The sequence below is a fragment of the Homo sapiens genome, chromosome X (genome assembly GCF_000001405.40).
Source record: "Homo sapiens chromosome X, GRCh38.p14 Primary Assembly".
Taxonomy (NCBI): Eukaryota; Metazoa; Chordata; class Mammalia; order Primates; family Hominidae; genus Homo; species Homo sapiens.
In genome coordinates this window covers 23833121-23856481 of record NC_000023.11, presented here as the reverse complement: position 1 = coordinate 23856481, position 23361 = coordinate 23833121, and the positions used below count along the sequence as shown (strand labels likewise).

The window sequence follows — 23361 nt, the reverse complement described above, 5'->3', positions numbered from 1 at the left end:
GCATATATCTTTATAGTAAAATGATTTATATTCCATTATTATTCCCAATAATAGGGATTGCTGGGTCAGATGGTAAGATCTTTTCTATTTTGTTTTAAGGTCAGTGGGGAGAGATTATATGACTGGGGTTTACGAGGATATATAGTCATAGAAGATTTGTGGAAGGAGAACTTTCAAAAGGTGAGGAGCATCTTTTTCATTATCTTCCTTTTGGTTTAAATATGTGGTTTCTCTAGGGTTTTGTAAAATATTTGATAACCCTGTTGATTTATTGCTTTTTCTGTTTGCTTCTAGTTCTGTCTCCAGCTCAGATTTTTCAGGTGACCTTTCTTGGTAGAGCAGTAGAACTTCTGAGTATTTGGTTATTATCAGCAGGGCCAAATAAGTGGTGACCATAAAATGCAATGCATTCCACCGTAGTCTTAGACCATATTTTCCATTATATTGTATTCCTAGTTTCCTCTAAGTGTAGCGTATTATTTAAAAGTCTTATTGAAACTGAATTCAAAGGGAATGTACTATGCTCCCAGGAAAAAGACATAATTGAGAGCCTCTTCCTCTTGGTTTTTCACTTATCATGAGTTCTGTTCTTTCCTTAGCACTGCTGTTTCTGTTTATCCCCCAGGCTTCTCAGCTCAGCTGAGGGTGTGAGCCATCGTATGTTGGGGACTAGCTACCAGCTAAAGGCCACGTTCTCTGTGCTGTCTAGTACATGAGCAACAGAGGGAAGAAGTTGTGTAATTGTAAGAACTTGTCACCTTTCATCTCTTTTAGTGGCCACATAGCCGATTAAATGTTGCCTATGTTCGCTTGGAACATTCCCTTCCTCCCACTGATAAGGAAGAATGAGTAGAGAATAAGGTATCATGTCTCTACTAAGCACTCAGAGGCACAGCCAGCTAAGGAAGAATTAGACTTCTTATATTAATATACCTTCTACATCACAGATTGAAGGAAGTTCATTTTTCAATGAAAATACTTTTTAAAAAAAAATAAATAACTGAGCTTCAAATCATTGACAAGTTAAAAAAATACATATAAATAACTATCTCAGAATTAAAATCCAGAATTTTGAACTGGGATTTGGAAGTAACAGAATAAATTATAAGCCCTCTTTATTATTTACATAAATAATCTTCTAGTGAAATCTTAAGACTCATTTTTTGGCCAGGTGCAGTGACTCACGCCCAGCACATTGGGAGTCCAAGGTGGGAGGATCACTTGAGCTCAGGAGTTTGAGACCAGCCTAGGCAACATAGTGAGACCCTATCTCTCCAAAAAATAAAAAATTTAGCTGGGCATGGTGGCATACTTTGGGAGGCTGAGGTGGGAGGATTGCTTGAGCCCAGAAGGTAAGGGCTAAATAGAGTGAGCCATGATTGCGCCACTGCACTCCAGCTTGAGCAACACAGTGAGGCCCTGTCTCAAAAAAAAAAAAAAAGAAAAAAAGAAAAAAAACCCCACTAATTTTTATACTGGTGGTTTCTAAAGGAATTAGTCCTTCTCGAGCCTATTTAAACTAGCTCTTGAATAGGAAATTCTATACCAATATCAAGAGTCTTTTGGCAATCCCTGTTTTTTTGATTGTTTTTTGTTTTATTTCTCTGATATTTTCTATGGAAGCTTCCTTTCCTTTTTAAAAAATTCCTTAACAAATGCGGCCAGGTGCGGTGGCTCATGCCTGTAATCCCAGCACTTTGGGAGGCCGAGGCGGGTGGAGCACCTGAGGTCGGGAGTTCCAGACCAGCCTGGCCAACATGATGAAACCCTGTCTCTACTAAAAAAATACAAAAATTAGCTGGGCATGGTGATGCACGTCTGTAATCCCGGCTACTCAGGAGGCTGAGGCAGGAGAATTGCTTGAACCCAGGAGGCAGAGGTTGCAGTCAGCCAAGATTGCGCCACTGTACTCTAGCCTGGGCAACAGAGCGAGACTTCATCTCAAAAAAACAAAAACAAACAAGCAAAAAAACAAATGCACACTAAATTTTATATGGGAAAGGAAGTAAAATATCAAGAAATCTCTAAACAGCCCTAGACAGAAATGTGGAAAGTGAGACTAAAAGCCTCAACTGCGAGCCTTCATTGTGGTGTGACTGCAGACTGAAGCACACCAAAGCCAGAGGGAGTCCCCCAGGCTCCCCGGAGTGCTCACTGTGGTGTCTGTGCAGACACACACGCACACCAAAGCTAAAGTGAGGGCTGCGGGAGCCTCTGGCTTGGAAACAGCATTCTCTGACTGTGCTAAGAATTCAGCCCAGTGCAGAAGCAGCTGGACTGTGGTTAGGATACCAGTTAAGCAGGCCAACATTTTCTGGTCATTTGAAGACATTAGATATTAAAGCTACCCAAATTTATATGCAGATCTTTTTAGAGTGAGGTGGTAAAGATTTTTAATTAGCTCATGATTGGTTTGCATTTCTCTCTGTCTTTATACCCTTGCCTTCTTCAGAGTCATTGAGAACTTAAGGCTTTCTCCTGTTTGTTACTCTCCAAGGATAATTTTATTGACAGCTGTCTGTTCTCAATAGAAGGTAATAAAATCAGGGCCAGGCACAGTGGCTCATGCCTGAAATCCCAGCACTTTGGGAGGCTGAGGCAGGCAAATCGCTTTGAGCCTAGGTGTTCGAGACCAGCTTGGGCAATATGGCAAAACCCTGTCTCTACAAAAACTACCAAAAAAAAAATAATAACCAGGTGTGGTGGCATGCACCTGTAGTCCCATCTACTTGGGAGGCTGAGGCAGGAGAATCTCATGAGCCCAGGAGGTAGAGTTTGTGGTGAGCCATGTTCACCCCACTGCACTCCAGCCTGGTGAATGGGAGTGAAACCCTGTATCAAAAACAAACAAACAAACAAACAAAAAAAAAAAACGGTCGGGCTCGGTGGCTCATGCCTGTAATCCTAGAATTTTGGGAGGCCGAGGTGGGCGGATCACGAGGTCAGGAGATCGAGACCATCCTAGCTAACACGGTGAAACCTCATCTCTACTAAAAATACAAAAAATTAATGTTGACTGCATTAAATATTTATTACAAGTTTTAAAGGAAAAATAGCAGAAGGCCCTATTAATTCAAAATTCAATATTCTTAAATTTCAGGAATTACTTGATATAATGAAGTGGCATTGTTTTTTGTTGATCTTGCTTCACCCCCCCCACTTTAGATTTCATGGGCTTCAGGGGGATTTTTGTTTTTTATTTTTTGGTTTATTTATTTATTTTTGAGATGGAATCTTGCTCTGTTGCCCAGGCTGGAGTGCAGTGGCACGATCTCGGCTTACTGCAACCTCCACCTCCCGGGTTCAAGCCATTCTCCTGTCTCAACCTCCTGAGTAGCTGGGACTACAGGCGCACACCACAACACCCAGCTAATTTTTGTATTTTTAGTAGAGACGGGTTTTCACCATGTTGGTCAGGCTGGCCTCGAACTCCTGAACTCAGGTGCTCCACCCATCTCGGCCTCCCAAAGTGCTGGGATTACAGGCGTGAGCCACCACGCCCGGCCTTGTTTTTGTTTTTTTAATGAGAGCTAAGATTTAAGCTACCCTGGAAAATGAATCTTTCTGGGGCCTTGGAGCTGAGTATATTCTCTTCATAGACTATCAAATAATTCAAAATCTAGTAAAGGAGATAAGGAAAGCATATGACCAAAATACAAGATAAAATGTGATAAATGCCAGAAGAAAGGCACACACAAAAATGTATGATTTTTGGATGAAGATATCTTGTCTTCATTGAAGGGAATTAAGGGACGCTTCATGAAGGGGACTTTTTTGTTTCTTAGCTTGTTAGGAAGTTGGTTTTCAAGTCCAGCTTTAATTACCAGTCTCAATTAAGTATCATCTAATTCATATTTTTTTTTTTTTTGAGACAGAGTCTCGCTCTGTGGCCCAGGCTGGAGCGCAGTGGCACGATCTCGGCTCACTGCAACCTCCGCCTCCCGGGTTCAAGCGATTCTCCTGCCTCAGCCTCACGAGTAGCTGGGATTACAGGTACATAGTACCACGCCTGGCTAATTTTTAATAGAGACGGGGTTTAGTATTTTTAGTAGAGATGGGGTTTCACCATGTTGTGCAGGGTGGTCTTGATCTCCTGACCTCGTGATCTGCCCGCCTCGGCCTCCCAAAGTGCTGGGATTACAGGCTTGAGCCACCGTGCCCGGCCAATTGTTTGTATTCTAATCATGTAACAGATGTACTGGCTTTTGGTTGTACATAGTCAGAGAAACTGTGGACACTATGTTTAAAACAGGGTGCTGGCCAGGTGTGGTGGCTCACGCCTGTAATCCCAGCACTTTGGGATGTGGAGACGGGTGGATCACTTGAGCCCAGAAGTTTGAGACCAGCCTGGACAACATGGCGCACCCCCGTCTCTACTGAAAACACAAAAATTAGCCAGGCATGGTGGCACACACCTGTAATCCCACCTACTTGGGAGGCGGAGGCACAAGAATCACTTGAACCTGAGAGGCGGAGGTTACAGTGAGCTGAGATCGTGCCACTGCACTCCAGCCTGGGCGAAAGAGCGAGACTCGGTCTCTAAATACATACATACATACATAAAACAGGGCACTGAAAATTTTTAAATTAGGAATGATGGCACAATTCTTAACGGTATTATTTCCCATGGGGGTATATTACTCTGAAATATCCCAAACAGGTCTGTGGCATTTTGCTGCTCTGCCACATCCCTTTTCCCTCTTACGAAATGATTCTAAATGTTTGTGCTGAGTCTTCTACCAATAAAGTAGTGTTTCAGTCTGTCATCATTGGTTACTTAAGAGGAATTTATCTGCTTCAGTTAAAATGAACTTTTTGTCAGAACTATGAAGCAAAGATAGGTGTGTCCAGAAATATTGTCATCTTGGTACAGTCTAGGGCTTTCTTTTAAGTTACAAGAATATATAACATATGTATAGTTTAAAATCCAACACTATAATGACCATGTACATACCAACCAATTATCTACCTTTAAAACTAGGAAATTACCGTGGGGCGCGGTGGCTCACGCCTGTAATCCCAGCACTGTGGGAGGCCGAGGCAGGTGGATGACGAGGTCAGGAGTTCAAGACCAGCCTGGCCAAGATGGTGAAAACCCGTCTCTACTAAAAATACCAAAAAATTAGCCAGGCATGGTGGCAGGTGCCTGTAATCCCAGCTACTCGGGAGGCTGAGGCAGAGAATTGCTTGAACCTGGGAGGTGGAGGTTACAGTGAGCCAAGATCGCGCCACTGCACTCCAGCCTGCGCGACAGAACAAGACTCCATCTCAAAAAAAAAAAAGGAAATTACCGATGCCTTTCAAGTCTTCCATGGGTCCCCTCACCCCCAAGTCTCCCCAGAGGGAACCATTATCTGGAATTTTATTTCATTCCCTTGTTTTTCTTTAAACTTTTCTTCCAGTTTAACCATATATGTCTGTATTCTGAAATACTATTGTTGAGCCTGCCTGTTTTTGCCTTTATAAAAATATACCAAATTTAAGTCTAAATATACATATTATATATATATAAGTTTATCTAGATGAGTCTTACTACATATTATTTTGCAACTTGTTTTGTTCCCTTAACATTTTGTTTATGGGTTATGTATGGCAGTAGTGTATTCATCTTCACTGCTGTAGACTATTTTCTTTGTGTTGTTGTTGTTGTTTTAATAGACGGAGTCTCACTCTGTTGCTCAGGCTGGAGTGTAGTGGTGCAGTCATGACTCACTGCAACTTCCGCCTGCTGGGTTCAAGCAATTCTCCTGCCTCAGCCTCCAGAGTAGCTAGGACTACAGGCATGCGCCACCATCCCTGGCTAATTTTTGTATTTTTAGTAGAGACAGGGTTTCACCATGTTGGTCAGGCTGGTCTCAAACTCCTGACCTCAGGTGATCCGCCCTCCTCAGCCTCCCAAAGTGTTGGGATTACAGGCATGAGCCACTGCGCCTGGTCATATTTTCTTTATGGGAAAATACCCATGTTGGTGGCTCCTTGGGTGGGTTTCAGTATATTACTATTACAACACAGCATGGCTTCATAATTTGTGAAGAATTTTTCTAGACCAGGGTTCCTGATTCATAGGGTCTGCATATCTTCAGTTTTACTAGATGATGCCAAGTAATTGTTACCATTTTTGCCAGTGTGATGGCTTTAAAAGAGTTTTTCATCATGGAGTATATGTGTATGTGGCTTTACTTTATTTCCCAATTTTCATTTTGAGAAAATTTCAAAACTACAGATCAGGTGCAGGACTAGTACAATGAATATACCCTTCACTTAGATTCACTAACATTTGCTGCATTTGCATAATCTATCTTTTCACCTATGCATGGTGTTCATACACACGAGTATATTTTATTTTCCTGAACCATTTGAGAATTAATTGTAGATATCATTGCATTTTCCATCTGTATCTAATTCAGCATGTATTTCCAAAGAACGTGGACATTCATTTATATGATCACAATACCGTTATTGTACTCAGGAAAGTTGGCATTTCATTATTTACACAAATGTTATCTAATATATAGCCCATGTTCAAATTTCCCTAGTTGCCCCAATAATGTACTTGCCTTAAACAACTTTTGATTTTTTTTTTTTTTTTCGAGATGGAGTGTTACTCTGTCGCCCAGGCTGGAGTGCAGTGGCGTGATGTTGGCTCACTGCAACCTCTGCCTTCTGGGTTCAAGCAATTTTCCTGCCTCAGCCTCGCGAGTAGCTGGGACTGCAGGCGCACGCCACCGCCCCCGCCTAATTTTTGTATTTTTAGTAGAGATGGGGTTTCACCATATTGGACAAGCTGGTCTCAAACTCCTGACCTCAGGCAGTCCACCTGCCTCGGCCTCCCAAAGTGCTGAGATTACAGGTGTGAGCCACCATGCCCGAACTTTTTTTTTTTTTTTTTTTTTTTTTTAAGTCTCTCTTAATCTACAGGCTCCCCTTCCATCTTTTGGAGTTGACTTCCTTACAGTTTATCTGTTAAAACAGTCTGGCACATTTCACCTATAGAGTTTCCAACGGTTTGGGTTTTGCTGATTACACATTTATGCTATAGTTTAACGTGTTCTCTGTACTCCCTGCACATTGGCAGCTGGATGCACGGGCTACTTGAACCAGATCCTGTTTGATCCTTTTGGCAATGCTCTAGATCCACGTAGGCACATAAGTCTGGTTTTTGCTTTGTTTTTATTGGTTTTAGCAGCTGTAGATGCTCAATGCCTAGACCCATTGAATCTTTGGGGGATAGAAATGGTGATATTGGCCGGGCGCAGTGGCTCACACCTGTAATCCCAACACTTTGGGAGGCCGAGGAGGGTAGATCACTTGAGATCAGGAGTTCGAAACCTGCCTGGCCAACATGGTGAAACCCCAGCTCTACTAAAAATACAAAAAAATTAGCCACACATGGTCAGGAGATTGAGACCATCCTGGCTAAGACGGTGAAACCCTGTCTCTACTAAAAATACAAAAAAATTAGCCAGGCGTGGTGGCAGGCGCCTGTAGTCCCAGCTACTCAGGAGGCTGAGGCAGGAGAATGGCGTGAACCCAGGAGGCGGAGCTTGCAGTGAGCTGAGATCCTACCACTGCACTCCAGCCTGGGCGACAGAGTGAGACTCCATCTCAAAAAAAAAAAAAAAAAAAAAATCAGCCGCGCATGGTGGCACGTGCCTGTAGTCCCAGCTACTCAGGAGACTCAGTCAGGAGAATTGCTTGAAGCTGCAAGGCAGAGGTTGCAGTGAGCCAAGATCATGCCACCTCACTCCAGCCTGGTTGACAGAACAAGACTCTGTCTCAAAAAAAAAAAAAAAGAAAAGAAAATGGTGATATTTTGCTTCTATTGTTTCATTTTCTCAAATTAGCTGAAATATTTTGATAAAGAACCCCTTCTCTTATCTACTAGTTACCCAGTTATAGTTTATATAGGAAAAACAAGATAATTACTTGATTTTTTTCTCTTATTTATCCAGTTTCAAAATAATGAATTCATTCCCTTTCCTCAGAAGATCACCTGTTAGTTTTTCTTTAAAAATAATGGCCAGGCACGGTGGCTCACGCCTGTAATCCCAGCACTTTGGCAGGCCGAGGCGGGTGGATCACCTGAGGTCAGGAGTTCGAGACCAGCCTGGCCAACAGGGTGAAACCCCGTCTCTACTAAAAATAAAAAATTAGCCAGGTGTGGTGGCACGCGCCTGTAGTCCCAGCTACTCAGGAGGCTGAGACTGGAGAATCACCTGAACCTGGGCGGTAGAGGTTGCAGTGAGCCATGATCGCGTCACTGCACTCCAGCCTGGGCGACAGAGTGAGATTTTGTCTCAAAAAAATAGGGCCAGACGCGGTGGCTCATGCCTGTAATCTCAGCACTTTGGGGGGCTGAAGTGGGCGGATCACGAGGTCAGGAGATCGAGACCATCCTAGCTAACATGGTGAAACCCCGTCTCTACTAAAAATACAAAAAAATTGGGCGTGGTGGCACATGCCTGTAGTTCCAGCTACTCGGGAAGCTGAGGCAGGAGAATCGCTTGAACCCAGGAGGCGGAGGTTGCAGTGAGCCAAGATCCCGCCGTTGTACTCCAGCCTGGGCAACAAGAGTGAAACTCCATCTCAAAAAAATAATATAAATAAATAAATATATATATATATTTATATAGAGATGGATATATATGTGTGTGTGTGTGTATATATATATATATATAATTATAGGCTGGGCACAATGGCTCACACCTGTAATCCCAGCACTTTGGGAGGCTGAGACAGGAGGATCACTTGAGTCTAGGAGTTTGAGGCTGCAGTGAGCGCTGTGTTCGTACCACTCCACTCCAGCCTGGGTGACAGAGCGAGACCCTGTTTCTTTTCTTTTCTTTTCTTTTTTTTGAGATGGAGTCTCGCACTGTCGCCCAGGCTGGAGTGCAGTGGCATGATCTCGGCTCACTGCTAGCTCTGCCTCCCGGGTTCACACCATTCTCCTGCCTCAGCCTCCCGAGTAGCTGGGACTACAGGCACGCGTCACCACGCCCAGCTAATTTTTTGTATTTTTAATAGAGTCGGGGTTTCACCGTGTTAGCCAGGATGATCTCGATCTCCTGACCTCGTGATCCGCCCGCCTCGGCCTCCCAAAGTGCTGGGATTACAGGTGTGAGCCGCTGCGCCTGGCCAAGACCCTGTTTCTTAAAATAATAAATAAATTAAAAATCATTACGGGTTTATAGATTTAAACATATTTGATAGTTTTGAATGCTTTGTAATTCTTGGTCTTATTAAAGTTCAAACTGTCCCATTTTGCTAGTGGAAGTTGGCTCTGAGTCCTCTTGACATGACCCAAGTAGTCTGTGATAGTTACCTCACTATCTAGCATGTGAAGATGTTCCCAGAATTTCCCATCGTGGTTTTCATTTACATTGCCCTGATTGAGCATCTTTTCACAGGTTTATTGGCTTCTTCTTGAAATGCCTGTTCATGTCTTTTGGCCACTTTTTATATGGGTCATTTGTCCCTTATTGATTTATAAGGGTTCTTTATTTTTTTCCTAGATATTAATAGTTTTGGCCAGATGTTTGCAGATGTCTTTTCTCAATATGGCTTGTCTTTTCAGTTTTGGTGTCTTGATGATCAGAAGAAGTTCTTCATGTAGTTGATTTATTGACCTTTTCCATTATGGTTTTCACTCTTTGACTCTAGGAGCTTAATAAAAGCATGAAATATTTATTGATTGTCCATTGCTAATCCGAAACCCTTTCAGAATAGTCCTAACCCAAGGTCTCAGTATCAGAGATGAAGGCCAGTTGTGGGTGTCAGGAGGTCAGTTGTGGGTGTCAGTCCTCAGGGTCACAGATGGCTCTTTTAGAGTTGTCTTTTTTTTTTTTTTTTTTTTGAGATGGAGTCTTGCTCTGTAGCCCAGGCTGGAGTGCAGTGGTGCAGTGGTGCGATCGCGTTCACTGCAACCTCCACCTCCTGGGTTCAAGCAATTCTCCTACCTCAGGCTCCTGAGTAGCTGGGATTACAGGCGTGCGCCACCACGCCTGGCTAATTTTTGTATTTTTAGTAGAGACAGGGTTTCACCATCTTGGCCAGGCTGGTCCTGAACTCCTGACCTCAAGTGATCCACCCGCCTCAGCCTCCCAAAGTGCTGGGACTACAGGCGTGAGCCACTGCACCCGACTAGAGTTGTCTTTTTTTTTTTTTTTTTTTTGAGATGGAGTCTCGCTCTGTCGCCCAGGCTGGAGTGTAATGGTGCCATCTTGGTTCATTACAACCTCCGCCTTCTGGGTTCAAGCGATTCTTCCGCCTCAGCCTCCCAAGTAGCTGGGATTACAGTCATTCACTACTATGCCTGGCTAATTTTTTTTTTTGTATTTTTAGTAGAGACGGGGTTTCGCCATGTTGGCCAGGCTGGTCTCGAACTCCTGGCCTCAGGTGATCCCCCTGCCTCGGCCTCCCAAAGTGCTGGGATTACAGGCGTGAGCCACCGCACCCAGCTTAGAGTTGTCTTATAATTAGCTAAACACAGCAGTATGTCTCAGTAAATATCATATTTTAGTTTTTCACTAGCTTTTTTTTAATGCAACAAATTACTATCACAGAATTGTACAATGACTGCTGAAGGCCAACACTAATTATTTAAAAGGCAGGAAATTAATAAAGAAGCATAAACCTGTTACCAATGTGAAAACTGAGCAGAACTTCTAAAGCTGAGCTGTTAATAGTTTTATTCAGGCCCTTGCTGGCTCAGCAGGAAAATGAAAGGGAAGCAGCAGCCACCACCCTGAGTAAACATGCCCTGCTTTTTCTTCCTCCATTAGAAGTTCCTCGGCTCTCTAAACATGGCAAAGTTTGGCTGAAAGTAAGTCATGTAGTTTTAAAATGTTCATCTTTGAAGTAAGCTAATCACAGAAGGACAATTACTGCATGATTCTACTTGTATGAGGTATTTAAAATAGTCAAACTCATAGAGGCAGAGAATAGAATGGCGATTGCCAGGGATTGGGGGAGGGAGAGATAGGGAGTTGGTAATCAACAAAGTTTTAGTCAAGCAAAGAGAATAAGTTCTACAGACCCCTTGCACAACACTGTGCCTATAGATAACAGTACCGTATTGTACACTTAAAAATCTGCCAAGAGGGCAGATGTCATGTTAAGTATTCTTACCACTGTATTTTTTTTAAATGACAGCTTGATGGGTTTTCCATAAAGTTATGAGTTTGTGCTTTGTAATTTTTTGCTGTCTAAAATTCTAAGAACTACAGGTATTAGGAAATGATTTTGAAATGATTTTTTCTTTCTTTTTAAAAACACCATTATTTACCAAAATGAAAAGTTAGAAATCCTGAATAATGTCATCTCCTCTTTAGAAAGGAATGCACTCTTGGTATCAGTGGGCAGGATACAGCGTTGTCCAGTGGACTAAGAGGAGCGGGAGCACCAGACTCCTACCCCACCTCTGCCTCTTACTAGCCCTGAAACCTTGGGAAGTTACTCCAGCTCTGTGGGAACTGGCATAGTACCTCCTGGAGCTGTTTTGAGGATTAAATAAGGTTATCTCATGTGAGGAACATATGAAATGGCTGGACTCTAGCCACATGATAGTCATCAACCACCACTCATGTGATACTGCACATTTTCGCTTCTGCCTGAGAAGATAATGTCCACTGATAGAAAATGGAACCATACCCTGTAGTCAGGAATCCTTATGTCATTGTTTTAGTTTTCCATTGCTGCCAAAATAAATGACTGCAAATTTACAGGTTGAAAGTAGTGCAAATGATTATCTTAGTTCTGTGGGTCAGAAGTCCAATTCTAAATCAAGGTGTCAGCAGGGTTGCGTTCCTTTCTAGAGGCCCTAGGGGGGAATTTCTTTCCTGCTCATTTAGATTGTTGACAGAACTCAGTTCCTCGAGGCTGTAGGACCAAGGTCTGTTTTGCTGGCTGAGGGCTGTTTCCAGCTTCCTTCCTCTATTGTCGAAGCCTGCAGCAAGTCGTTTGCAGATCCCCCTTCTGACCTCTTCTTCTGCCTCCCTCTTAGACTGCAGGCACTCTTATGCTTGAATCAAGCCCACCCAGATAATCCAAGATCATCTCCCTATTTTAAGGGCAACTGATTAGTAAACTTAATTCCAATGCAACCTTAATTTCCCTTTGCTGTGTGAGGTAACAGTCACAGGTTCCAGAAATAGAAGACATCTTTGAGGGGCCATTATTCTGCCTACCTCATCAAGTGAACTAGAATTGTGTTGGGGTCTTTAACAGGTCATTTATCCTTACCTTTTATTTTCTTCATCCAAAAAATAAAGTGGCCTGCCATATAGGATAGATAATGTTTATTGAGCACTTACTTGCTGTGAGCTTGGCCCTTGGCGCTAAACTCTTTGCTCAGGAAGAGTCTTTGAGGTGGGTTCTATTATTATCCCCATTTATAAGTGAGGAAACTGCATTTTGGAGAAGTTAAGTAATTGTTGAAAATAATTCAACTGGTGAGGGAGTCAGACATTTCAGTAGGCTGCTGTACCTCAAAGGTTTGGCTGGCTGGCAATCAGCCTTCACATGGCAGGCATACTAATTAGAAATCAGTGTCTTGATTTTCTTAAAAAGTTTTGGTTTTGCTAGCAGAAATTGTCATTTGTGCCCAGGCACGGTGGCTCATGCTTGTAATCCCAGCACTTTGTAGGCCGAGGCAGGCAAATCACCTGTGGTCGGGAGCTTGAGACCAGCCTGGCCAACATGGTGAAACCCTGTCTTCACTAAAAATACAATAATTAGCTGGGTGTAGTAGTGGGCGCCTGTAATCCCAGCTACTCAGGAGGCTGAGGCAGGAGAATCGTTTGAACCCAGGAGGCAGAGGTTACGTGAGCTGAGATTGCGCCACTGCACTCCAGCCTGGGTGACAGAGGGAAACTCCGTCTCAAAAAAAAAAAAAAAAAAAAAAAGAAATTGTCATTTGTGTTCATGGACGTGGTAAGAAAATAAAAACTGAAATCAGATATGTATGAAAATGAGTTACAAAATATTCTAGATAAAACTTTCTCTGTCTGAAAATGCAAAAAAAAATGATTTCTGGCTTGTGCTAAATCACGAACTGTTTTTTGAAGTCAGAATGTTGTTTTGTCTGAGATCCTGGAGTTCTCTGCCAAGAGAGATCTGATTTGTGACAGGGTGGTGGATGGGCTCAATATTTTTTTAATGAGATATTGGACTGTGCTGTTTTGTTATACTATAAGTGATATGTAACCAAACAAGAAAATTTTCCTAGCAACAAAGTTGTTTTCCTGAATCAGAAGAATGCTTTTGTGTGCTCATTTTCTTATTGTCCAAAAGATAAAAAAGCTTGTGAATTTAGCATCTTATTTTTTTGAGATTGAGGTACTGGCGAGTATAGATAGTAGAATATATAAGAATATCATTGGAAGTATTTGGCAAGCAGTATGTTAATTCAGACCTAAACTGTATTTAAGTAGAGAACTAACTTGTTTTTTTGTTTGTTTGTTTTTGTTTGTTTTTGAGATGGAGTTTCACTCTTGTTGCCCAGGCTGGAGTGCAATGGCGTGATCTTGGCTCACTGCAACCTCCGCCTCCTGGGTTCAAGCGATTCTCCTGCTTCAGCCTCCCGAGCAGCTGGGATTACAGGCATGCGCCACCATGCCCTGCTAATTTTGTATTTTTAGTAGAGACGGGGTTTCTCCCTGTTGTTCAGGCTGGTCTCGAACTCCTGACCTCAGGTGATCCACCCACCTTGGCCTCCCAAAGTGCTGGGATTACAGGCGTGAGCCACCACGCCCTGCCGAGAACCACCTTGTTTTTATGCCAGACCCGATTGTTGGACATGATTATCTCACTGGCCCTTATAAGCCTTTTTTTCTCTCTTCTTGTTCTTCATTAGTCTGGTGAGGGACCCAGACATTTCAGTAGGCTGCTATACCTCAAAGGTTTGGCTGGCAATCAGCCTTCACATGGCAGTCATACTAATTAGAAATCAATGTTTTGATTTTTTTTTAAGTTTTAATTTTGCTAACAGAAATTGTTATTCGTGTTCATGGATGTGTTAAGAAAATAGAAACCCAAGCTTTTTTACATTCATCAGATCTCTAAGTTCTACCCCATTCCATTTGTTTGTTTGTTTTGAGACAGGGTCTCACTCTGTTGCCCAAACTGTAGTGCAGTTGTGCAGTCACAGCTTACTGCAGCCTCAACCTCCCTGGCTTAAGTGATCCTCCCACCTCAGCCTCCTGAGTAGGTGGGACCACAGGCATGTGTCATCCCACCTGGCTAATTTTTGTATTTTTTTTAGAGACAGGATTTCAGCATGTTGCCCAGGCTGATCTTGAACTCCTGGGCTCAAGTGATCCACCCGCCTCGGCCTCCTGAAGTGCTGGGATTACAGGTGTGAGCCACTGCCCCTGGCTTTCCATTTGTTTATGCAACAAATATTTGAATAGTGTGTGCTAGGAGGCCCTAGGGATATTGTGCCCTCATGAAGCTTACAGGTTAATGAAAGACTCAAACATGAAAGAAATAATTACACAATCAGGAAGTACATGAGTGCTATGAAAGGGAATAGAAGGTTCTGCTAAATTGAAGGACAGGGTACAAAGAAAGCCTTGATGTAAAGGATGAATAACATTTAGCTAGGCAAAAATTGGGATTGTCTGGTCTCGGTCAGTGGGGTATATTTTGCAAAGGTCTTGTCCCAGTAGGGAGTTTGTCAATTTCGAGCAACAGCAAAAAGGCCTCTGGGTTGTAGGTGGGTGTGTGTTCACATATGGGTATGTGTGTTCGCTTGTGTGCATGCATGTGAGGAGGCAGGGTGGGGAGTGGCTCTGGAGGAGGAGAAGGGCACAGATTCTCAGTCCTGTAGCACTCTTGTTCAGAGCATCAAGTAGACCTGAGAATTGTATGTTGATCATTGGTCCGCCAAGCAGTTCGTATGGCCTTGTTTCCCAGAACTCCATCATCAAGTGGATGTGGTGACCATATACTTTATCATCAAAACCAGGATACTCTTTTTTTTTTTTTTTTTTTTTTTAAACTTCTTTTTCTATGTTGCCCAAGCTGGTCTTGAATTCCCAGGCTCAATGGATCCTCCCGCCTCGGCCTCCCAAAGTGCTGGGATTACAGGCGTGAACCAACATGCCCGGCAAACCAGGATACTCTTGAGAGTGAAAGGGGACACTATTAATTATGTTGGGACAACGGGTATAAAACAGTACTTATAGACCAGTTCTCAGCCACTCCAGGGAGCCCCAAAGTTGCCTAGAAACCATGCTCTGAAATGACAGGGTTAGTCACGTGCTCCTGCTTTCTCACCTTTTCCTCTTCCTTCATCCATGAATAACTCTGAAAGAGGGGCACCAGGAGAAACTGCTCCAAGTCTATACAACAGAATCTTAGCCCCCATGGCCCGCCCAGCTGCAGCCTCCTGTTTTTCAGACTGCCATCTGATCTCTGACTATTAATGTGTTTTCAGAATTAAAGTCTAAAAAACGTATAGAAAAGAAAGTAAGGCCTTAAAAGTTTAGCACGTGAACTTTTCCCACTAGAAGCTTTTCCTACACTGCTTCTTATGGATTACATGGCCTAATTATATGTTCCCGGAGGGCCACTGGGCAGAATGGGTGTGGTCTAACTTCTTTCAGAGTAAACATGTTTTGTGGATTGGCCCCTATGGTGGATAATGGTGAATAATGCATGGAGTAAATACCTACAGGAAGCCTTCCCATAGGTGTAAAACCTTTATTTCAGGAAATAAAAGGAAGATATATTGATTTTTTAATTAGAATCAACTGTTTGGCTGAATCTGCATAATGAGGATTAATGGAGCTTTATTTCCTGCTCTCTCTGCCCAAGTCACTCTACAGTAGGGCCCTCAGAGAGCCCTAGTAACTTCTTCAATTTACTGACAGATGGATCACTTTGCAGTAAAATAATATTTAATGGTCGGTAACTGCGAGAATGTGGGATCTCATTGTCCTCCTCAGCCTTTCTTCAACAACCCCCCAAGTCCTCAATAAAATGGTTTGACCCTGTCCCCCATAATAATTTTTAATGTTCATGTTCAGCCAAATACTCAGGACACTAAGGAGTTGCACTATTTCTTTTCAAACTGCATTCAAGCTCTTTCTTTTGTTTTAAAAGCCAGGAAATGTGAAGAATTCACCTGGAACTAAGTAGAAAACTCCATGCTCTGCCATCTTAATCAGGTAAAAAACAAGAAATTTCTGTGATTATTTTCAGCATTGTAGTGCCAGCTGAAATGACTTGTTTTTAATTAATTTAATTTAATTAATTATAACAGTTTCAATTTGATGTGAAAATATTTTATTCCATCTTTTAGTTTCTGGGCTTAAATGCTGTGACTTACTTATTTGTGTTTGTTCCACTAATGTTACCTGGGTTTTTTAGACAAGCTAGAACCAGACAGTTGGGATTTGTCTACAAATGTATTTCAAACAATTGAAAAGTGTCATTATTCCTTAGGTTTTTTTCAAACAACACTTTATTATAGTAAGTACACTTGTATTTATCTAATACTCAGTGAACACTGGAATGCATGACTGTTACAGAGAGGCTCAAAACACTAGTTATATTGTTTGTGTATATATGAAAAATTGTATAATAGCACTTGTGATTTCCTGGTAATTAGAAGACTGTAATTGAATTTGGAAGCAACCTAGATATTCAACTACAGGAAAATGGCTTAATTATGGTATATCTATAAAGAAGAATATTATTATTCTGTTTCTACAGTATTTAATTGCATGGGAACGTGTGCACAATTATTGTTAAATGAAAAAAAGGTAGTGTGATATGTTTATAGAGGGGATGAAGCCAGGAGATACGACAGAAAGTGTGTATCTTTCAGTGGCATGATGATTTTTATATTTTTTTCTTCTTTATAACTTTCTGTATTTAAAAAATTTTCTGCAATGAGTATGCATTTTATAATCAGAAAATTTTTTGAAAATTGGTGTTACATTTATTGTAAATCATGGCCCTTACTTAAAATTTATGAAAACCCTGAGTTTGAAGGGTCTTTTTTCCTCAAGCTTTCTTTATATTTTTGGAGACCCAAAGAGTCACATAAACTGAGAATTTGAGAGTGGTTATCTGGCCCAACCCCCAGCCTCAAGCAGACTCCCCTGAAACCCTGTATGTTCCTTCTTTTACACCAGCACTGATGGGAAACTCACCCTATGGGGCAGCCATCCTGGGACAATTCTGAGTTTTTGGAAGCTGTTTCCTCTGCTAAGCAAAAATATGTCTCCTTAGTGGTCACAGAAAACAAATCCAGTTCCTCTTTCACAGCATAGCTGTTCATACAGTAACCCAACATCAGTATGTTCTCAGATACAAACTATTACCCGGGGAGCTTGGTAAAAGGCAAAGGGCACCCCAGAATCAGTATCTCTGGTGAATGGGGCCAGATATGCATGGGATGTGCCATTAGAAGGATGACTGGAGGGTGAGCAGCCACAGAGTGACACATGTCCTCTAGAGACTTGACTTTTAATATGGTTATATTTCTCTCTTTTTTTAAATCCCTGTCAGCCAGAATGGATATATTTCTGTACAGGGACAATGAAAAAGACATAGAATAAAGGGAAATTAGGTAAATATCCATTTCAATTTTCAAAGATACTCTGCACCAGAGTTCAGCTTGCTGAAATACACAACCTTGACTTCATTCTTTATTGTTTTTAGATCTTTATTGGAGGAGGTGTAGCTTTTAATTATAAAAGTGATTCGTGTTGGTTGTAAAAAATGTTTTTAGCTAACTGTTTTAAAAGCTTGTCTTGGCCGGGTGTGGTGGCTCACGCCTGTAATCCCAGCACTTTGGGAGGCCAAGGTGGGCAGATCACGAGGTCGAGAGATCGAGACCACCCTGGCCAACATGGTGAAAGCCCGTCTCTACTAAAAATACAAAAAAAAAAAGCCAGGCATGGTGGTAGTTGCCTGTAATCCCAGCTACTTGGGAGGCTGAGGCAGGAGAATCGCTTGAACCCAGGAGGCGGAGGTTGCAGTGAGCCGAGATCGTGCCATTGCACTCTAGCCTGGGCAAAAAGAGTGAAACTCTGTCTCAAAAACAAAACAAAAAAGCTTGTCTTATCCTTTATTCTTTTCTTTTTCTTTCTTTCTTTTTTTTTTTTTTTTTTTTGAGATAGAGTTTCACTCTTGTTGCCCAGGCTGGAGTGCAGTGGAGCAATCTTGCTCACTGCAGCCTCTGAGGCCTCCCGGGTTCAAGTCATTCTCCTGCCTCAGCCTCCCAAGTAGCTGGGATTACAGGCATGCACCACCATGCCCAGCTAATTTTGTATTTTTTAGTAGAGACAGGGTTTTAGCATATTGGTCAGGCTGGTCTCGAACTCCTGACCTCAGGTGATCCACCTGCCTCAGCCTCCCAAAGTACTGGGATTACAGGTGTGAGCCACCACATCTGGCCCCTTTATTCTTTTTTCCAGAGGTAATTTTTGTTAATAGTTTGGTATATCATTCCAGACTTTTAAATATAGATAGATAGATAGATAGATAGATAGATAGATAGATAGATAGATAGGCCGGGTGCAGTGGCTCACACCTGTACTCCTAGCACTTTGGGAGGCTGAGGTAGGTGGATTATATGAGTCTGGCAGTTCGAGAACAGCCTGGGCAATATGGCGAAACCCTGTCTCTACAAAAAATTAAAAAAATTAGCTGAGTGTGATGACGAACACCTGTAGTCCCAGTTACTTGGAGGCTGAGGTGGGAGGATCTCCTGAGCCTGGGAGAAAGAGGTTGCAGTGAGCCATGATCACTCCACTGCACTCCAACCTGGGCAACAGAGTGATACCCTGTCTCAAAAACAAATATATATATTTATTTATATTTAAAATTTATTTATAAATTAAATAAATTTATTTATACATTTATAATATATTCATGCATACATGCATGTTTTTGGTTTTTTGACAAAATGGGATCATATTCCACATATTGTTTTACAAGTTCACAGAAAACTTTCTTTTTACTGTTATTTATCTGGGGGGATGGGATCTTGCTGTGTTACCCAGGCTGGACTTCAACTCCTGGGTTTAGGTGATCCTCCCACTTCACCCTTCTGAGTAGCTGCACAGAAAACTTACTGAAGGCATATAATTGTAATTATATTATCATACATAAAGAAATTAGGCTTTCTTTGCTGCGTCTACTGCGAGAATGAAGACTATTCTCAGCAATCAGACTGTCGACATTCCAGAAAATGTCGACATTACTCTGAAGGGACGCACAGTTATCGTGAAGGGCCCCAGAGGAACCCTGCGGAGGGACTTCAATCACATCAATGTAGAACTCAGCCTTCTTGGAAAGAAAAAAAAGAGGCTCCGGGTTGACAAATGGTGGGGTAACAGAAAGGAACTGGCTACCGTTCGGACTATTTGTAGTCATGTACAGAACATGATCAAGGGTGTTACACTGGGCTTCCGTTACAAGATGAGGTCTGTGTATGCTCACTTCCCCATCAACGTTGTTATCCAGGAGAATGGGTCTCTTGTTGAAATCCGAAATTTTTTGGGTGAAAAATACATCCGCAGGGTTCGGATGAGACCAGGTGTTGCTTGTTCAGTATCTCAAGCCCAGAAAGATGAATTAATCCTTGAAGGAAATGACATTGAGCTTGTTTCAAATTCAGCGGCTTTGATTCAGCAAGCCACAACAGTTAAAAACAAGGATATCAGGAAATTTTTGGATGGTATCTATGTCTCTGAAAAAGGAACTGTTCAGCAGGCTGATGAATAAGATCTAAGAGTTACCTGGCTACAGAAAGAAGATGCCAGATGACACTTAAGACCTACTTGTGATATTTAAATGATGCAATAAAAGACCTATTGATTTGGGGAAAAAAAAAAAAAAAAGAAATTAGGCTGGGGCTGGGCGTGGTGGCTCACGCCTGTGGTCCCAGCACTTTGGGAAGCTGAGGTGGGCGGATCATGAGGTTAGGAGTTTGAGACTAGCCTGGCCAATATGGTGAAACCCTGTCTCTACTAAAAATACAAAAATTAGCCAGACATGGTGGCGTGCGCCTGTAGTCCCAGCTACTCGGGAGGCCGAGGCAGGGGAATCGCTTGAACCCGAAAGGCGGAGGTTGCAGTGAGCCGAGATCACGCCACTGCACTCCAGCCTGGGTGACAGAGTGAGACTCTGTCTCAAAAAAAAAAGAAAAAAGAAAAAAAGGAAATTAAGGCCGGGCATGGTGGCTCATGCCTGTAGTTCAAACTACTCAGGAGGCTGAGGCAGGAGAATTGCTTGAACCCGGGAGGTAGAGGTTGCAGTGAGCCAAGATCGTGCCACTGCACACTCCCAGCCTGGGCAACAGAGAGAGACTCCGTCTCAAAGAAAGAAAGAAATTGCACTAATTCCTTAACATCATCTAATATCCAGTTCAATGTACACATTTTCCTGGTTGTTTCATGAATAACTTTTTACAGTTGGTTCGTTTGAACCAGGATCCAAACAAGATCTGCCTGTTGTGTTTGACTGATAGGTCTCTTAGAACTGTAATAGTTTCCGCTCCCTCATTGTCCCTTGCTATTTATCTGTTGAAAAACCTGGCTTATTTGTCCTTTAGAATTCCTGTTTTCTACAAGGATTGAGCTGGGAGGGGAAAAAAAGAATTTCTCATGTTCTGGCTGTGGCCGAATGTATCCATTTAGTATCATTCTGTTTATCTCTTGGTTTCTTTCTTCTCTATATTTCCCATAAACTTATAGTTGGATCCGAAGGCTTAATTAGACTTAGGTTCATTTTTTTTTTTTGCCATAGACAGTACTATATTAATCTATGCTGATGAATGAATGAACTTGTTTTACATAACATATTGTGTAAGTATTTCCCTGTCAGTACTTAATAGAGCTACGCATTCCTTCTCTAGTTGCTTAATGATTTCCTAGTATGGACTACCATGATCTACTTAATCCTTACCAACATAGGTTGTTTCCAGTTTTTAGTTTTTAACAATGCAATAAATCTATCAAATTCCTGGGGAAGACAAAAGCAGATTAATAAACTGAGATAGAAAAAATAAGCTAGTAGTTTACATGTTTAAGAATTTTTGGTTGTATATTAAAAGATCAAGTGAATAGTCACTGGCCTCTAAAATATTTAGAAATCTCCAATTGTGCCGGGCACGGTGGCTCATACCTGTAATCCCAGCACTTTGGGAGGCTGAGGCGGGTGAATCACCTCAGGTCAGGAGTTCGAGACCAGCCTGCCCAACATGGTGAAACCACATCTCTACTAAAAATACAAAAAATTAGCCGGGCGTGGTGGCGCCTGCCTGTAATCCCAGCTACTCAGGAGGCTGAGGCAGGAGAATTGCTTGAACCCGGGAGATGGAGGTTGCGGTGAACCGAGAGGACGCCACTGTACTCCAGCCTGGGCAACAAGAGTGAAACTCCGTCTCAAAAAAAAAAAAAAATCTCTAATTGCTGAGTATATTCATTACAAATTATGAAAAAAAGCCAGGCGTGGTGGCTCACGGCTGTAATCCCAGCACTTTGGGAAGCTGAGGCAAGCAGATCACTTTAGGTCAGGAGTTCGAGACCAGCCTGGCCAACATGGTGAAACCCTGTCTCTACCAAAAATATAAAAAATTAGCTGGGTGTGGTGGCGGGCACCTGTAATCCCAGCTACTTGGGAGGCTGAGGCAGAATTGCTTGAACCTGGGAGGCAGAGGTTACAGTGAGCCGAGATCACGCCACTGCACTCCAGCTTGGGTGACAGAGCAAGACTCCATCTCAAAAAAAAAAAAAATATGAAAAAAGCAATCTGGAGAAGACTCAGTTTGTCTTTGACATGTCTTTGACTATATGTGTATTTTATTCCAGAAAAGTATGATGGGGGTGATGCGAGGAAAATTACACATCAAACTGAGGGTGATGTAATCATGCTTTCCAGCAGATAGATGGAAATGTAGTTGTTTAATCTTCAGATGTGATGTGTACTGTGCCATTTAGGCATTTGTTTTTTATTTATTCATCCATCTAGTTGGTTAATTACACTCAGATACACAGCCAATTGAGGATCTGAATGTAGTGTATATGTAATGTTGATGGAACACAAAATCTTTTTTTTTTTTTTTTTTTTGAGACAGAGTTTTGCTCTGTTGCCCAGGCTGGAGTGCAGTGGCTCAGTCTTGGTTCACTGCGTCCTCTGCCTCCCGGGTTCAAGCAATTCTACTGCCTCAGCCTCCCGATTAGCTGGGATTACAGGCGCCCGCCACCATGCCCGGCTAATTTTTTGTATTTTTAGTAAAGATGGGATTTCACCATGTTAGCCAGGCTGGTCTCGAACTCCTGACCACAGATGATCCACCTGCCTCGGCCTCCTAAAGTGCTGGGATTACAGGCATGAGCCACCACACTCGACCTTTCTGATTCTTAGTTTAACTGTCTTTAAAATGGGAATAATTACAGTTTTCTCTGGCTCATGTTTCTTATGGTCATATAATGGTGATGTAAATATTTTCTATGGTTTCTCTATTTATTTATTTATTTTGAGATGGAGTTTCATTCTTGTCGCCCAGGCTGGAGTGCAATGGCATGATCTCAGCTCACTGCAGCCTCTGTCTCCTAGGTTCAAGTGATTCTCCTGCCTCAGCCTCCTGCGTAGCTGGGATTACAGGCACTTGCCACCATGCCCAGCCAATCTTTTTGTATTTTTAGTAGAGACGGGGTTTCACCATGTTGGGCAGGCTGGTCTCGAACTTCTGACCTCAGGTGATCCACCCGCCTCGGCTTCCCAAAGTGCTGGGATTACAGGCATGGGCCACCGCGCCTGGCCTGGTTTCTCTATTTAAATCTGAAGAATTTTCATAATGCAAAATTTTTTCTGGCACAGTTACTTATGTTTTTCTTTTCTTTCTTTTAGTTATAGGTAAACATTGGAAACTCCATAGAATAAATCAGTATTTCTACAGAAAAATGGCATAGAAGTCAGTATTGAATGTATTAAATTGGCTTTCTTCTTCAGGAAAAACTAGACCAGACCTCTGTTATCTTCTGTGAAATCATCCTACAAGCAAACTAACCTGGAATCCCTTCACCTAGAGATAATGTACAAGCCTTAGAACTCCTCATTCTCATGTTGCTATTTATGTACCTAATTAAAACCCAAGTTAAAAAAAAAAATCCGATATCACTGAGTGATGGTCTAAGTGTGTATGGTGTGTGTGTATGCATGGTTTGTGTGTGTGGTGCATGTTTGTGTGTGTGTGTGGTATGGATGGTGTATGTGAGTTAAAGACAACAGGTAACTCTTAGGGAAGTATCAGCTCACAGCCTGCTGAGTCTGGGCCCCACAACACATAGTATAGAAGAGTAGCTCTGGAGTCCGAGAGATGCTTCAATAACTAGCACAAGG

The 23361-nt window shown here is 42.2% G+C and overlaps 1 protein-coding gene and 1 pseudogene across 7 annotated transcripts in view; both read left to right on the top strand.

The window, feature by feature from the left end:
- The window catches only part of APOO (apolipoprotein O), a 74586-nt gene extending 51457 nt beyond the window's left edge, over positions 1-23129 (top strand). For 4 of the 7 annotated variants that reach the window (NR_026545.4, XM_024452447.2, XM_017029837.2 and 1 more), the window contains 3 exons: positions 100-180; positions 16105-16169; positions 22972-23110. Coding sequence is in view for 6 of the 7 variants with exons in the window: in XM_024452447.2 (XP_024308215.1) it covers positions 100-180; positions 16105-16140 (117 nt within the window). In the remaining variant the exon portion in view is untranslated. Of the gene's footprint in view, positions 1-99; positions 181-16104; positions 16170-22869 lie in introns of all 7 variants that reach the window. The other 3 variants (XM_011545587.4, NM_024122.5, XM_011545586.3) reach the window with 2 other exon arrangements.
- RPL9P7 (ribosomal protein L9 pseudogene 7) lies at positions 19136-19838 on the top strand (annotated as a pseudogene).